The sequence below is a fragment of the Homo sapiens genome, chromosome 10 (assembly GCF_000001405.40).
Source record: "Homo sapiens chromosome 10, GRCh38.p14 Primary Assembly".
Taxonomy (NCBI): domain Eukaryota; kingdom Metazoa; phylum Chordata; class Mammalia; order Primates; family Hominidae; genus Homo; species Homo sapiens.
This window is the reverse complement of record NC_000010.11, coordinates 11,148,390-11,166,351: the sequence shown is the minus strand read 5'-3', so window position 1 is coordinate 11,166,351 and position 17,962 is coordinate 11,148,390. Positions and strand designations below refer to the sequence as shown.

General features: G+C 44.1%; 1 protein-coding gene across 69 annotated transcripts in view, besides 2 other annotated features; it reads right to left on the bottom strand.

Moving 5' to 3' along the window:
• Nucleotides 1-17,962, bottom strand: part of CELF2 (CUGBP Elav-like family member 2) — an 874,126-nt gene that overhangs the window by 170,324 nt on the left and 685,840 nt on the right. For 61 of the 69 annotated variants that reach the window (XM_047424494.1, NM_001326323.2, NM_001326320.2 and 58 more), the window contains one exon: nt 670-866. In XM_047424494.1, the coding sequence (XP_047280450.1) occupies nt 670-847 (178 nt within the window). In that variant the 5' untranslated portion in view covers nt 848-866. 69 annotated transcript variants of the gene reach the window in all.
• Nucleotides 401-640: a silencer, noted in NCBI's record as "silent region_2126". NCBI's record gives its function as "represses an Ori minimal core promoter by ATAC-STARR-seq in GM12878 lymphoblastoid cells {active_cell/tissue: GM12878}" and the evidence as "EXISTENCE:reporter gene assay evidence [ECO:0000049][PMID:35858748]".
• Nucleotides 8,463-8,572: a silencer, noted in NCBI's record as "silent region_2125". NCBI's record gives its function as "represses an Ori minimal core promoter by ATAC-STARR-seq in GM12878 lymphoblastoid cells {active_cell/tissue: GM12878}" and the evidence as "EXISTENCE:reporter gene assay evidence [ECO:0000049][PMID:35858748]".

The following is a 17,962-nucleotide window of genomic DNA, read 5'->3' as shown; positions in this document are numbered from 1 at the left end:
AACTACCAGATCCTATACCTTCATCTCCACACTGATAAGGGCGTAACCCTCAAGCATTTGTGAAGGTGTCCTAACTATGTCAGGCCACTAGGGTGCTGCTCCCAGCTCCAAAAGGCAGATTCACCTCACGGTCCCCACCTGACCCCCAGGAATGGGTGTCCCTTCTTCAGGGGAGCCTTTTCTCCCTCGCACCAGTGGCATCACGTCAACTGTTTATAAGCTACCTAGAGGTCCCCACAGGCTATGGAAAAGTGAAATGCAATTGTAATTACATGGGCAAGCCTAGGAACGTAGGGGTGGGAAGAGTTAGGTCCTGAAATACAAGGCTGGGAAACGCGATTCCTCGGAGAAGCAACCACCCCGCCCAAGCACAGGCTGGGCTGCCTAGAAAGTGACCTCCCGGGAGCGATCACGCGCCTGGACCGAGCCTCTGCGCTCCCGCCCTGCCTCGGTCCCTCTCTCCCGCCTCCAACCTGTCCCGGCGGGCAGGCGGGCGGGGGTGCGGGGAGGAGTCGGGAGCAGCCCCTGGAGCACAGGGGCCGCCAGCACCGGCTGCTTCCAGCCCTCCTGCCTACCCGCCCTTCCTCCTGCAGGCTGGGGGCTCGGACAGCCCCAGTGCCCCGCGACGCCCACCTGGACGCCTGGCGACCCCCGCCCCGCGCTCTGTACCTTTACTCTGCGGAGGGTTCTGACTCCGGTCCCGGAGGACGTTGATCTGGTAGACGGCTCCGTAAGGCTCAAAAAGTTCTTTCAGCTCCTTTTCCGACCATGACCGGGGGATCTGTCCGACAAACATCTTAATGGCATCTGGGTCTGGTTGGTCTGAGTGATCCAAAGCTCCGTTCATCTTGTTGGCTGTGCCGTTACTGTCAAAAACGGAACCGGGAGCCAGAGTTAGGGCGGCACGATGAGGGACAGGAAGAAAAAATAGTGGGGGTGGGGGAGCGGGGAGGCGGAAGGAGGAGGAAGAAGAGCAGTGGCAAAGTGCCTAATGAGTCGTAGAAATTTGATGAACTAAAACAAAGCGGAGGCACCATGAGTTGCTCCTCGGCGGCGGCGAGGCTCTCACTGCGTGCTGCTGTCGAGCAGAGCCGGGGGAGCACGGGGCAGCGCCCTGCCGCCTGTCACCCAGGGCGTGGACATCTTGGAGGCTCGGGAGGCAGCTGCAAGTTAAGTGCAGGTCTAGCTCTGCAAGGCTGCCATCAACGCATCAGCGCCTTATCAGCCCTACCCTGGCTGTGGCTGGGAAAGAAAGGCAGAGCTAGATGTCTGCTGGATTTCTCTCCCTCTCCCTGCCCCGCCCCCCGCCCCACCGCCCTTTTTGGGAGGTTTTTGGAAGAGAGGAGAGAGGTGGTAATAATAAAGTCACATGGAAAGAAAATGAAACACTTGGCAGTCCGTCAGATGACTAATGCAAGATGCGGGTGATGAATTTGCAGAGTGCGCGAGGCATCCATGTGTGCATCAAATTAGTACGTTGTTGCTACTCAGAATGGAAAGCGGTCCAGCTATGCAGCTCTGCGCAGCTGATTGGCTGCCCACGCTGGAGAAAAAGGCCGGAGCTGGGAGGGGGCTCCCCTTTAAAAAGCACATTGTTTATGGGACCCAGGCACAAAGGGTTTAATTCAGAGAGGCAAAGGAGATCTCAGAATTGCCTGCTTTGTGCTGGGTTAAAAAAAAAAAAAAAAGCAGCCCCAGAAAGTTGAGTTCCCACTAAAAGACACTGAATATTTCAAATCTCTCACACTCCATAAATTGTTCTCTGTATATCTGACTTCCAGATGTTGCACTTGAGTTCTAAACAATCACACGTTTGGGAGAGAAAAAAAGAAAGTCTGCCTTTTCTTCTCCCAGCTTCAGTAAATATTTGGGGCTGACAGAGAGCACAACCATAAGCTTTTGCATATCAGTCCTCCTCAACGCTGTTTCCAAAATCCCCATTTGGAAGAGAATGCTGTGTACAGCCCGCACTTCTAGTCACCATCAAGTAATACGATGATGAAGACATGTCTTTTTCACTTGCCCCCACCCTCCTTTGAGCAGGAATAAACAGTAAAGCAAAACCATGTACCCTTTTTGTGCCCCCTACCCCCGCTCCAAATATACCCTGAACCCAGCTACTCTGCCAAGTGACAAGGCTGAATGCCTCTCGGCAGCTCATTTGCAGCACTGCGCGCTTGCTCCAGCTTCTCAGCCTGTGAAAATAGAAGGCGCCGAAACAAAGCAGGCAGAAGCTGCCCCTACAGAGCCTCCTCCATGAGCAGACCCACCCCAAAAAGCAGAGAGGTCAGAAAGGGGACATGCTAACTAATACTAAACTGCAAGGGCCAGATGTGATCTCCCTGTAGCTTCCTGGTACTACCAAGAAGGTAGACAAAGATCTTACAGAGAGCTACTTACTTGGTTAAAATGAAACACCAGACAAATACACCATCAGAGCACTTTAAATCTGCTGTGGGTCTAGGATGGCCCTAAGCCCCTAAAAACAAGATACTCATGGTTAAAAAGCCAAAACCCTACGGGGTAAGGAAAAATCCTGAATGAGATTCAACCTAGAGAGGAAAATGATGTCAAATACTCTTCGCTAGGTCCTGGTTTCAATTTCTACTTCTTCGTATCCCCCTATTTTACCACTTTATTTTTTTATCCTTGAAATAAACAATCAGACTGTCTAACTTGAAGCATTTTCAGAGCTTGCTCTAATCAACCTTATTGTTATAAAAAATGTTCTGCTGAATAAAATACTGAGTACAAAATCTTCTCTCAACAATTTTGGTGTAATGTAATCCTTGTTTATATTAGAGCCAGATTGTTTATCTTGTTCTTATGCACCTATCCTTTTTAAGTCGCTCTTTGAGAATTCAATCAACACTTGAACCCTGTGGGTCTGTGGCTGTAGCGGGGTGGAGGCAGTGGAGCCCCTTGCAGTACAGCATGTCATGTTCACACCCTGTCGGGGGTTGAGAGTGTGGCAAGACTTATTTCTGGGACAGGAAAGACTTGTGGTTACTGCTGTTGACAACCAGCTAGATTGAAAAGAGGAAGGTATTGCCACAGGTCTCGGCTAACAGAAAACAGAAGTTCAAAAAATGGGGCTGCCGCACCTCATCTGCGGAGCACATAATGTAACACAATGGAGAAGGGAGTGGCATTGTACTAGTTCTAGTGTCAGAATTCTAGAGCAAGCAGTCTTCAATGCTTCTGCAAATAAGAGGCCATTTACTCTTTTTCGAAAAATATAAACTCACCAAGATGCATCAAGTAAGGGAAGTAGAGGAGCCGGCCAATGCCTCATGCCTCTGGCCTGTATGTGGCTGGTGTACATTAGTATTTCATCCCATGAGCCATGCTTCACCGCTGCCTGGAGACCTCTCATCTAGAGGCAGTGTGGTACAGGGGCTCTGAGTTCTGGCAGCACCTCTTCCTAAATGTGCTACTCTGGGCTTCAGACTCTTATCTGTAAAATGGGTATAGCGGACTCCATCTCTTAGACTCATGTGCTTAATACAAGACATGGCACAAAATAAGGGCTCTCTCAGTGTCGGCTATTCCTACTGTTAATTCCTTCTTTGCATCTGTGAAGCATCTGAAATGAGTGACCATCAAAAATCTACTTTTCAATTCAAAATTTTTATAGTATAGACTCAACCACAATTCCTATCCTAAATAATAATATGTGTATTTTGGTCATCACTTATATAGCAAATATTGTGATAGGTACTTTACATTTTTTTCACCCCCCCCACCCCAGTTTAGGCTACTTTGAAACCTACATTTACTCAGTCACATAGTGTGTCTCCATCTCCACAGATTCCCTTCTTCTCTATTCCTACAGAGCCACCCATGAGCACCTCTCATTTCTATCTACATCCTTGCCAAACTACCTGCCCTTTTGGAAGTAACTTTTCCAAAGATTTGCATCAAGTTCTAAGGGCAGGACAATCCCTTCCTTAAGTAAATCCAATGATGTCCACTTGCTGTACAAGTTGAAATATCACCACCCCCCACCTTCCTGATCAAAAGCAAAATAGGTGGTCCTGTCCCACCAACCTCTCTCCTGGCGCTGCCGAAATGGGTGGTCCTGTCCCATTGACCACTCTCCTGGCGCTGCCAAAATGGGTGGTCCTGTCCCATCGACCACTCTCCTGGCGCTGCCTCAATAGGTGGTCCGGTCCCACCAACCTCTCTCCTGGCACTGCTGAAATGGGTGGTATGGGTGGTCCTGTCCCACCGACCACTCTCCTGGCACTGCCGAATCACATGCCCTGAATCCCCACAGTACTGCCGCAGCTTGGTTTACTCCCTTCTCATCCACCCAAATGAATCCTGCTCTGGACTCCCAACTCTCTCCCTGGCTGATGCTCATTTTTAGCGGAGACTCACTGAATTCTTTCATCCTCATGGGGCTGTAGCACTGACACTTCTAAGCAAGCCAGAAATTATGTGTTCAACAGTTAAACCTTTGGAGGTACCTGCTAGAAACTAAGGACAGCCAATGTGCTCTTCAAAGAGAAGTAATTACAGGAATAGACACCCCAAATCTCAGCAAGACCCCTGAGAAGATCTCCTATTTACAACAACCTCATCTAGGGCTTAGAAAATCAGACTAGCTTGCTTCTCTTCACTCCCTAGCCATTCTCAACACCCAGTACAGTGCCTCTTACAGTCCAAGAATTTACATCCAAATTCAAATAATATTTATTGAGGAGCTACTCTTTGCCAGAAACCTTTGCCAAGTACTTGATATACAATACTCTTCAACAGCTCCCGCTGGAATCATTATCTGTTTTGGAGATGAACCCAATGAGAGTCAGAGATACATTGACTTTTCCAATGTCACACAAAAGGTGCCTAGAGAATGTGAATGCAGTGAGAGGTGAAGGTCAACTGCCTCTGCTTCACGTTCCATGAGTTGGGTTTCTCCAGGTGGACATTTCCCAACTCGGTGACCACTCGCAGGCCCCAGACACATGCGCACACATCTCTGCTGGCACCTTGCCTGCAAACTGCAATGAGATCCTGAGTGCCAATTCTGCTAGTACCCTTGGCAAGGAGCCAGCTAGAAGGCTCCTCTAAGACAGATGCCATATGGAATAAGACCGCAAGTCTGCAAGCACTACGCCAGTGGGCAATAGTATTCTCAGTGTCAGAGACAAGATGAAAATGAAATCTTGTTCGGAAAAACGATGAGTGCTTACTTTTTAGTTTTAACCCAGGCACTGACCTACTTCCCTATTTTAGAGGAAAAATAACTAGATCAACAGAGTATATGCAAAATCTTCTGAGGTCCCTCTAATCAGTAAACTATTATAATAATTGATTCAACATATTATTTTTACTAGTTTTAGGACAACAAGCTTTTATAAGGCCCAGTGATTTGCAGGCTTCCTTTGGGAGAATGCAAACAAAAGAATGGAAATTTCTATTCTTTTATCTTGTTCTGTGGGCAACTTTCTGTGTTGTATTTCCTTCATTTATATAAAAAGAAGAACAAACTTACAAAATGGCTATAAGAATTGCCAAATGGCTATAAATTATTATACGAATGCTAAAAGACATAAAATGTCATCTTCAGAATGCAAACTAAATAAAAAAGCACACACAAAAAAGCCTTGTCTTAGAAAAATTGTGCGTAAAGATAGAAAATCTGCCTGGTAGTTATTAATAATCTTATTACTCCAATACTCTTTTTTTTTTTTTTTTTTTGATCCTTGGGATAATCCACGTCAGTGCTACCCAACCCGGTGCCATGAAGGAAATGTTCTGTATTTGCACAGTCCAATATGGTGGCCACTAGATACATGTGGCTAATGCAACTAAGGAATTGAATTTTTATTTAACTTCAGTTTACCTAAATAGCTATAGATGCAAATATACTTGTCCTTTGCTTGTTTTTTACTGATTAGAGTTGAGATTTATCTAAACATCATTGCATGGGAGGTTTGTTTTGGAAACACAAGAATATGGGGCCAGGAAAGCCCCATCAGTGCTTGAGGCCCTCAACAGCAGGTCAGTGAACAGTGGGCCAGGAGGCCTGAGTTCTCATCCTGGCTCAGCAACCACTTAACTCTAGGATCTGAGGCTAATGATGTGACCACTCTGCGCCTCAGTTTCCTCACTTGTAAAACAAAGCAAGAGGATAGTTCCCATCTGGCTCTTAATTTCTATAATCCTATGGCTATGGTCTGGACCCAGAGATTCATGGAAAAGCTAATTTAGATAATATAACCAGCTGCCTGAAATCTTGTTGTGATTCCTTGCCTGTGTCCAATTCAGTCCCTCTGGCTCACAGGTGACACAGGCTGCAGGCTGGAGAGCTGACAAGGTGTCACTGACACTATGGAGAGTAGCCTGGAGGCTCCGACAGGCCGCTGAGTGGCCGGTTAATTGGGGTGCTGCGAGAGCCCCATCTCTTGCCAGGTATGCCAATGCTCTTCTTAATGTCCTAACTTCAGTCCCATCATTTCTGTAGCTAACAAGCCACTCTTTCAAAGGGCTCAGGAATCATTTTTAAATATCACTTGTACTTAAGTAATAGCACACGAAGAAACAGGCTTTGTTTGGTTATTACAGGAAACTGTCCAAGACTCAGCTGCTTAAGGCAAAAGCAGAAAGAACCTGGCGATGGGCCTGGTGCCTCCGGCGGGTAACAGGACAGACATGAAATTCATTAATATTAACAATCTCTACATTGTTCATTTTGGTGTTGCCATTATTTAAGAAGAGAAATCTCTTCCCAACAGACTGGCAGTGGGGCAACTAAGGTCTCAGCATCAGCTCCTTCCCACACTGCATGCTGGAGAACACATCAGAAACTCAGGCCCTACCCTCAGGAGGCGCCCTGTCCATGCTCAACTTAGCGCATCCTTTCGATTTAGGAAGAGGAGTCAGTGGTCATCCAACCCAGAGCTCTGGGAATTGCAACTCCCTTTTAAAATGCACTGCTTCACAGTCATCATGAAAAACGCGTCTGTCTTCCATGACTGCCTTTCGGCAGGGCAGAGTTTGCCACCTTTCTGACACAGCTATGTCTTAACTGTAGTGGCATCCAGGGCTGCTGAAAACTTTGGGTAAATTTAACAAAATGTTTTGGTTATCAGTTACGCCACCAAAAATATGTGAAAATAATGACACTCCCCTATTTAGGTGGAAGGTATTGTTACCATTTATCATGTGTACTAAACCTTTTGAGTCACTGCCACATAAATTATGGAATGAGGCCCCAAACCATCTCTGAGATGGCCACACATCAGCTAGTGAATCCACATGGAAAATTGACCAGAGCAAATACCCTAAACATTACAAAGTCAAAGCCCTTCTCTAAATGGTCAAATTGTCATTAAATAGCTTGAGCTCCTCTGAAGAAAAGGTTCAGGTTTCCTATATGTACATACACACGTATTACCTTATGATCAATCCTGCACTTTGACAAAATTAAAAAAATAGTTTCTTAAGAATGTACAGGACATCATTGTTATTCACAAACAACTAAGAAATAACACATTTGTGTTCTTGGGGACATTATGCTGGATTACCAAAGGTATTGCTGAACTGTGTTCGGTTGGGGGTCTCAAATGCTTGCCAGGGTAAAATGCATCCAAAATTCGTAGAGAACTATTCCTGCAGAAAAGATCACAGAACACAGGCATTTGGAAAAGGGAAACCTTATTACCTTATTTCAATGTGACTGCTAGTAAAAGGCACAAAGCTGGAGAACCCCCACAAAGAAGTAAATTTGGAGACATCTAGGGGGTACCTGATGGCTGAACAGACAATAACCCTCCCTGGGAAGGGAGCAAGGCAGCAGCTTAAGACAGCCCTCACCCAGGCAACTCATTTCCTTCTGTGATTTATCAGAAATAGTTCAGTGGACTTCAGGGCCAAGCAGGAGGCGTTTGCACAGGGAGAGGTAGGTGTTCTAGATGAACTTTTAGAAATGGCAACAGGGAAACAATCACCACAAGGAAGATTTATTGAGGGCTTCCCATTCCCAAAGCGCTTTAGGGACGACACCAATGAATCCTCTCTCCTGCGGCTGAGCTCAGTGTGACTGCCCCTAACTTTACAGACAGGAAATTCCTCCAGGAGCCCCTGCTTCTACAGCAGGTCTAGGGTATCCTTCCAGTCTGACTTACCTGCCAATGGCTGGATGCTGCTGAAGCCACCTGTTGGCTATGGGCAACTAATTGAAAGTGGCTCTTTGGATGATTGACAGGAGACTGGTTTCACCGTCAGTTAACTACAAAGAGAATCCTTGTAAAATGATAAGATGAAGACAAATATAGGGGGAAACTCAACAGGGGCCTGCGCTTCCCAAGATGAAGAATGATTTTTAACACAATGTCCCCCACTGCCTCCACAGTCCAACAACAAATGATTAAAGGGACCCACATCAAGGGGGGCAAACGAAAGACACACGACATCTGATTCCCTGCAGACTAGGTTGTGGTGACTGTGCTTCTCAAGGCAGGTAACTTCTGTTTTCACCACTGAAGATACTTTGCCTGGACTTATTTATGCAAGAGAACACGGTCAGTGCGGATTCACAACCCTCTCTACACACTTCAGAAGCCTGGGTGGTGAAAGCCAGTTCTTCCCCTTTGCAGAATCTTAAACAAAACTGAGGTTTACCCTGAGTCCTTTTCTTTCCTTCTCATTCTCAGTTACTGAATATCTGCTTTATGTCAGGCACAGTGGTAGGTTTGAAGGTGAGAGAGCTGAAAAATAGGTCATTTATGTCCTTCTGCTGCTCATGGCCAATTAGAAGAGACAGACATGGACACAACATAAAACCAAAACCAATGTGGTATAAGGCCTATAATAGAGCAATAAATAAAGGCCTGGAGTTAGTTAGAAACAAGTGACTCATTAAGCCAAGGGGATTGGGCATTTGGCATTCTGAACTATGCTGCATCCCTGTGAGCAATGTTTAAGTGAAATTTTTGTGTGTGTGTGTGTGGGGGGAGGGCGGATATCAAAGTCAAAAGACAACAGGCTATACCATTTCACCTAGTTGGCAATGGCATTGAAACGAAACAAAAAACTGGGGAGAAAAAGGCGGCTCTAACAAGGAAGGGAGCTGGGAAGGTGGGAAACGCGGCCCCAGAGCACAGCTCCTCTACAACCATGCATGTGTGAGAGGCACGGAAGTACCAGCAAAGACCCTGGCGCCGACGGCAGTCATGTGCATGGGTGACTTTGCACAGGGGACACAGCCTCATCCCCCAACCTGCTCTTGAAATGCCACCCCCTGGAGCCTGTTCCGCAAAGGACCTTCCATTTCCACCCTTCATTCTCACACGCTGTGGGAATCCTGTGGAGAGGTCACCCATTCTCAAGTATTTGAAAATAACTGCCCTCATTTTGACCATTAAACTCTAATCCCACAGCACACTCTGGCACCACCTCAAATTCAGCACACCTAAAGTTCATCTCTTCCGGTCTTCTTTTCCTCCAATCAGCTTTTAGGCTCATCTTCCCTGTCTTTCATACTGGCTCAAATTCCCTTCCCAACCAGCAATCCATGACCAGAAACAGTGCTGCACACAGAACATGCGTGTAATGCGGACTGGCTGCTTGCTCTGGCCTTTCCCTTCTCTGACCGCGGAACCTCAGAAACAGCGATTCACGGAAGCCCCATCAAGTGCATGGTGGAAGTGTGACATCCTGAAGACAGGGATGTCTCATTCATTCACTTAATCATATTTATGACGCGAGTCTGACAAATTCAAGGAGCTGGGGATACCGCAATGACTAAAGTGGGGGTAAAACAGTCTTCACGGAGTTATATTCTAGAGTGGGCATGAAATAGGCAAATAAGTAAGCCTTATCGATTAAAAAGACCGTTTTGACAGAGACAAATAAAGCATGCAGGGGAGGGCGTTGCAGGGTATTAAATAAGAGGGCTGCAATATTAAATAAGGTGGTCAGGGAAGGCCTCGTCTGGACGGTGAGGATGGTCTCAGCACATCCTCAAAACACATTTACTGAATGAATAGATTTAATACGGCACGCGAGAAGTCTTCAAAGCAGTAAAATTAAATCACACGTCATGTGATCTGTCGCCACTATTAAGAGCCATGTTATCCCGTCCAGTGCCGTCCTATTAAATCCGAGAGTCAACACACCTATTACTAGTCAGTTACTGAGTCATGCCTATTTTTCTCCAAATGCCCGCTGGGTCCACTTGTCCCTGAACAGCCACTGTCCTGATTCTGGCTATCCTCTTGTTCTCATTACATTATTATTAATATAAAACTGGTTGGTGGGCTTTCCTAATTTGGACTAAAGGACAAAGGCGTCACTGACCTTTGTGCTTGCCCGGCATTCAGAACTCCACCTACTTTTCTGTTAAATGCTGATTATCTGTCCATTCATTATTCATTTTATCATCTATCAATGGCAGAATTTAATCTCAGGCTGGTCTCTCCTCAACCTGCTTTTGGGCTACCTTTCTCAGTCGTAAATGATGTGTAATCAAGGAATACAACTGAAATGAAACGCCAGGCTAAGGAAGGCAGCCAGCAGTGTGAGGTTGGATGTGAACGCACTTGAGATTAAGGACGCCACTGTCTCCTTCCACTGATCTGGAAAATCAAAAGTTGACAGTCCATGGGAGCTAATTATGTCATATTAATGACGGTAGTTGTTTAGAGAGAAAACAGAATCCACTTGTGAAGAGGGATATGTATTTATTACATTCAAGTGTATTTTTCTTTTTCCCAAAAATGCCTTCAAACTCCAATATTTGTGAATAGTCAGCATAAAGAAAAAAATGATCTTAGAGCAGACAGAAACGTATGTCACAAACTTCCCATCCGGATGCTCATGCCCTTTGAGGTCTCTGGAGAACTCTTCAACCCACTCCTCCAAGATCTCTCATGTTGGTTTTCCACAGCCTGATCACCTGCATTTCAAACCTGCAGGAGAAGACGAGGAGCAAACAAAAGGGAGGCTCTGCAATAGGCAGGCCCATGTCATGATGAGGGCAGACACCAGGGTCTGAAGCAGCCTCGTGGTGAAAAGCCCACTCGCAGCAGGGGCTCAGATGTGTTCCCTAGCCATTCCCAAGGACGGCAGCACAGCGCAATTATTCATTTGTATAATCACAAGCTTGTCTCATCCAAGGGGTCACATTAAGCTCAATAAATTCTGCTTAAGGAGGCCGGGAAATATATAACTTGTTGTAAGAAGCATTCCTTCAAAATGAGACAACAAAGAGAAATGGTGCCTTAAAGGAGAAGCTTTCAACTGTACTGCAAACTTAGCTCATCAGACTGGCTCATTCCTCAGGGATGAGCTGAGATGTTACTCTGGTTTTCACACAGTGGCGTATCAAATGTCGAGATTTGTGTACCATCTAATTTGCTGTCATTCAATGCAACAACTGACTCTGCCTAAACTCTTCGGCTTTGTTTGGGTTAATGCTGACTAAGTATCCTGCTGGGTTTTTCCCTACCTGTGATTGTTTTTGTCATCTTGTCCGGGAGAAATAAGGGCGATGGGTGGAGTACATGGGAGCAATGAATGAGTTGTTCCCTTTTGGGAGTTTGTTTTTTCAGTCAGTAATGTATCATGAATCCAGAAGTAAACTTTAGTTCTTTCTCTTCAGCGCATCACAACAGATGATTGATGAGGTTTAAAAGTTGGATATAAAATGCCCCAAAGAGATGACAGTGATATCATTAAAGGGACAAGTGTACATTTCCTACAATTTTCCTGTCTGGACACAACAAAAGGCAATCAGATGCACTACAGTGACTGCACTGAATTCCTCGACAGCAGTTCAAACGTGCGCCTCTCTGACAATCTCAAAACAATTTGCAAGAGGACTTCCAGAGTTCTCTGCAGGCCACCTCATCCTGCATGTTTCCTTTCCATGCAAATATGCTGGTCTGTCATGCTACAAAACCACATCTCAAAAGGCAAAGGCCAAATGACATTCTACTTCGCTAGTTTTTAAATCCCTAAATTGTATCTTAAGATGAAATCAGTACCAAATACTACATTTTGATTTGGAAATCTATAGGTCCTGTCTCTTTGCTTCTTCTCTCTCTCAGCAAGTCATAAATTCCATTTAGCATCTTAAATCACCAATTAAAATAGGCTTTGATATTTAATTTGCTTATTTCTTAAAACACACACCATCAGATATAACCCCCTAAACAAATAAAAGTAGAATTATGTGCTAAATTATAATGGCTGTTATACTAAGAAGCTGAATATCATTACATCAAAACTCCCCATAGTTGATTTTTTTAAAGCCATTTCTTCATTTTTTGACACTACATCTGGCACAATGAATACAGATGATCATGTGTTTATATATCTGTCTAACTGCCTTTCCCAAACACAGCCAGATGGAGTCTTTCAGAATCAAATTAATTTCAGATTAATTCATTCTGGACCCACTCCAGTTTCATGACTCTTTGCTTTGAGGCAGCAACCAAATTGCTGTGAAGTCATCAACTTGAAAGAGCACAGGTTCCTCGATACCAAGGGGAAAAAACTGTACAATTCTGCGGATGCTCCCCCTACCCAAAAAGAAATCCATTCAGGTACCACAAGATGCCAGTTTAGGGACTGATCAACATTTCACAGTGTCAAAATCACCCAGGAAGAATTTTTCTTCTTGGATCCAAATAAGATCACGGTTAATTGTACATCCAATATTCATAATGCCTTTAGATGAGATGATTCCAGGGAAAATTAGCATCTCCATTAGAAACAGCAGAACCAAGGGTGTTAGGGTAAACTTGCCACATAAGCAGAGTCAGGTACGACCTGTGACACAAGAGAGTTACTCCTACACACACAAAGCGCATGTTCTCTGTCTCTAGCTGTAGCTACTGAAGGAACTATCAACAAATGTAACTGGGCTTTGCATGCTGTCAATCTCGGTGGATGCCTTTATTATCCTACTTGTTTCAATTGCAATTTGGGTTTCCATGGAGACACAACAGTCAGCTCTAGAAAATTATAAGATAAATGTCAGACGGTGATAACGGTGTTAATGAAGCTTCGGTGACAAGCAGCTCTGTGCTTCAAATAATAAGCCTATTTTCTATTAGCATATGTATAACCTGTCAAAAAATACCTGGAAGAGAATATTCAAAAATATCTATCTATATTTAAGAGGGGACAGGTGAAAGGCCCCTCTAGAATGGCTTAAATGTGGTGGGTCAACCTGAACAACAGCAAAAAAAATTAAATTGCCAGTTTCTTGGGAAAATTAGGCATGAGCCAACGGCTCTAAATGAGGCTTTAGCTGACATTCAGAAATACATGACTTCACTTGGTCGTAAAATTTTTTCTTGTAATGTGGTCCAGGGAATCTGTTTTTGCTTCTGGAAGGAAGAGCTCCACTTGCTAAGTCTGACCGTGGAAGATTATGAGCTTTAGAGAAATCAGCGCCACAGCCAAGCTCATGGTACCTGGATTGATGGAGCCCACCACCTCCCTCGATGCTGGGGTGCTGGATAACTCTAATGGGATTGCCAGAGTCCACAGCCATCCTTGCCTATTCCACAGCCAAACAGGTGCTACTGAAATTTTAGCAGGTCAGAGAAACTGACAACTGTGACAAGAGTTATGTAAGTTTGATGCATTCTGAAGACACAAGTTGAGACTATGGAATTGTGAACTACAGCACAGTTCAAGGAAAGATGCTACAGAAAGTAACTGAAGGAAAAATTTCCTTTTTTGGGAGAAAAGATTACTAAGAAATAAAGCAGATTTTTATGTTTTGTTCAAGAACATCCTTTAGGATTCTGAGTGAAAAGGTTAAAAGGTGACAAGTTGAAAGGGTGGGAAGTTAAAAGGATAATTTTGTAAGTCACAGTCTCTCTAGAAAGACAACACAGACTTGTATAGCTGATGCTATCTGACACCTTGCTATAGTCCCATTATTTAATCTTTCCCACCAGATTTTTTTTTTTTATTTAACAACTGTTTCCTGAGAACCTACTTGGTGTCATGCACTGTGTTCAGAACACAATGATGAACAATGCGTTGTCACTGCTCTTATATTCCTCATTGTTTAGTAGCTTCTACAACCTAATGTTCAAGGTCTTGAATGAGGTGTCACAAAGTTCTTTTCTTTCTGTCCAAACTTGGTCCAGTTTCGCAGTGACTACATGAATATGTTTTTGTGGGGCATGGCAACTCTATTGGCTGCACCCCTGCATGTGGAACAGCCCAAGTCCTCTCCCATCCACTTACTCCTACCCAAGCCCATTCTTCAAGAGGAAAATTCACAGGAGTCAAACCCAAGGTCTAGGATATAACTGGGCCATGGTGCTAGGGTCAGGACTTTCACTGCTGCTTTTGAAGAAACTACAGCAATTCTTGTTCCCTGAACAGCATTTCTTTTTCTCTTTACCAAGCTCTAACTCTGAAAGGCTTGTGTAGACTGCCCCACGCCTGCCTCCTACTCAGAGAGGGGGCTACTTCTCCCAAGTTGCAAGATGGAGCATGACCCGAGTGAGACTCAGGGCAGAGTGGGAAAAGAAGAAATGGTTTAAACCAGACACCCTTGTTTTTAGGAGAAAGAATATTCTATGTTTCCTAAAAGCCCTTATCTACTTATTTTTTTTTTCTTGACTCAATTCACCATAAGATGTAAACATCCAGGGACTCAAGTTAGGGTTTGGTCCAGAAAACACAGCCTCATTCCTCCTTTTAGTTCAAGGCTAAAATTATCTTTTGCTCTCTGTGGCCAGGTGGCTCTCTGGAGCCACAGGTTCTACAGCAAGGCTCATGGCCACACATAGGGTCCCCTGTGTATACGGTACTGATACATCTCCAGGAATAAGGTGATGGTAGAGTCCAGAGTTCAAAACTCTATCCACCTCACTCAACTGGAAGGAACACAGCCTTGCCAAAAGACAAAATAAAAACAATACAAAACCAACAATCCATAAACTGTCGGCAACAGCAAAATCCTACACTATCGTTACTGACTCACACACTCCCTCGTCTCTTTCCCAGTTATCCCATCCATGGAAAAGATACAGAAGAAAAAACAATTCAAGTACACACAAAGCCCGGGATACTAGCAATATGGTTCTTTAATAGGGGCCAAAGTGGTAAGCTGAATCCAGGGAATATACAGGAAAAGCCATAAGGTTTAAATTTAATAACTTGATTTGGACTACGGGACCGGAGGTGGAAAACTTTCAGTTGTAAATTAAGGCTTAATATTATACTACTAAAAACTGGGTGGGGAAACAGCTGTGGTCATGGAAACAGACTACAAACAGCATGCCTTTCTCACCAACAAGTCTAACCAATTAAATAGCCTCATTCTTCCTTAACTAATATTTTGCTCCTGGACTTTTTATGATCTCACAACATTCTTGAAAGGTGTTGGGGAGTTGAATATTTAAGCCAAAAAGTCACCTGTAATCATTGTTGATATTTTTATACTACTGAAATAATTACTGTTCTTCTTAATAACCACACAAAGCATCTAACTGTAGTTCTTCAGTGTTAAAATGACAGGTCTAGACTGGGGCTCCAAAATTAATCATAATTTTCCTGAATTCATAACATTTGCTAAATAAACTCATTGGAGAGACGGGAGCTCCACATGTGAGAGAAATAAACAGATTATAATTTAAGTGTTGCATAGCACAGCTTCAAAAGCAAATGCAAAAGTGAAAGCTGAAAACAAATGGCTGCCCAGGTGTTTTGTTTTCTTCCTGCTGGTTGACATGGGGAGGTTTGGGTACACAGAGGCAGCTCAACTGCTGATCTGGAAGCTGGAGCTCAGTGCAGCCACTGTTGGTTCAACCATAATCTCCACTTTGAATGGTGTCAAAAGTATCTTTTAGATTTTAGGTTTGTATGTTTGTTCTTGCAGACCATTATATAAGGGCAATCAAACAAAAGAAACTAAACAGGAATTCCCAAATCAATGAAGTCATTCAAGTATGATTATGAAGGAAGTCTTTTCAAAACAAGGTGGATCGCAAGTTCCTCTAAGACATGGCATGCAGGGTTCATGTTTAGATAGCAGTGCACACACTTGCTATGCTGGGAGGGGCGTCACAAAGTAACTAGGTCAAAATAAAGATTATAAACCACAAAAAGCGTGATACCTGTGCTCTTGCCTTCAGCTCTACATTTTCTTTGAAAATCACAAAGTGTGTATGTTTGTTTTCTAGATGACTGATTTAGGGAAAACAGAACTACTTGGAAAGACTTGTGTCTTATGTTAGTAAAGACAACAATGAAACAGATATCACTGATGTTGAAAGCTAAAAACTCACCAAGGACAGGAGGATACAGAAATATTAACAACAACCCATATTACTACAAAAACAATTTTAATTCTCCTCCCAGGGTCATATGGTATCAATTTTGGAAACCACATTTCCCCTGGGAAATTTAACTGTGAGCTTTTCTGTGTCCATAGAATCACGGATATATTTAACAGGGGAAAGACATTAGGGTTTTTGGAGATCAACTGACAAGTGCTGAATACCTGAAGACAGTATATTTCCATCGGGGTCGATGCAAGATGATGAGGTAACTTCCTAATTATGGGCTTATAATGACACACACACTTAGCGATCAGCTTGTTTTTGAGGCTTCCATTCAGAGGTTTCGTTAGCAACCCAAAGAATCGTGATCTCTGTGGACAGCTTGGAAACGTTCTACCTCAGCACACAGGAACATGAGAAGCCAAAGAAAGTCAGTGAGAGCAGAGCACGGGAGATGCAGCAGTAAGAGGAACACGAAATGTGTCCTGACGCCACCCTCACAAGGCGCAAAGCCTCGGGTTTACTTAGTACACTGCTTCTGGAAATCCCACCTCCTCTGGCCACGGGGCTCATATTTACTTTATAGAAAAGATTCGTTCCTGAGGAATTTTCACCTAGATGACATGAAACCCACAGATCTGTGCATTCAGCTATGTGGGAAATAAAACTGCATCTGCTGATGAGGGTGGGGACATTTCCTTAATATATGTGTCAATAGGTCAGGCGTGGTGGCTCATGCCTGTTATCGCAGCACTTTGGGAGGCTGAGGCAAGTGGATCATCTGAGGTCAGAATTCAAGACCGGTCTGGCCAACATGGCAAAACCCTGTCTCCACTAAAAATACAAAAATTAGCTGGGTGTGGCGGCACACACCTGTAGTCCCAGCCACTCAGGAGGCTGAGGCATGAGAATCGCTTGAACACAGGAGGTGGAAGTTGCAGTGAGCCAAGATCGCACCACTGCACTCCAGCCTGGGTGACAGAAGGAGACTCCGACTTGGGAAAGAAAAAAAAACACCTGTCAATAATGCCAGTGTGGTGGCAGGGACTGGGCAGCATTCAGAAGGAGGTTACTCTCCTAAATGGGTTAAAACTCAGGACAAATGCATTCCAGCTCAGAGCAAGGTCCCTAGTGATACCAGAGTGATGAGGTTTATTGAGGCTATTTTTAATACACTAACTGGCCTTTACTGACAGGCTACTGGGCTTGCTTTGTGTGTGTGTGTGTGTGTGTGTGTGTGTGTTTGGTTTAAGATAATAATCGATAACAACAAGGGCAACTAGCTTGGCTGGCTGGAGGCAGATATTGCTCTTCCCCCGCTTAATTAACAAAAACATTCCAGAACCCTGACAGAGAAGAATAATGGTGAAATAAATTATGGAACCACTTATGTATGAAAGCATACATTATTAAAACTACTCTAAATGGGTCCTTAATCTAAATAAAGATGGTCATTTTAGGAAGCCAGGCATCTCAAGAATGAGAAAGGACACAATGCTATCGTGACCCAAGACAGAAAAGGTGGATCGCCTTGCCAGCAGACAGTGAGAGTGTCAAACTGCCCTTGACTGTGATTAAAATTCATATATGTCTCTAACACTGGATGCGTCTCAGCTTCAATTATTTACAGCCCTGTATTTCTATTGGTTAAAGATAGGAGAAAAAAGCATATTGGGCAAAACTCACTACTAATATTT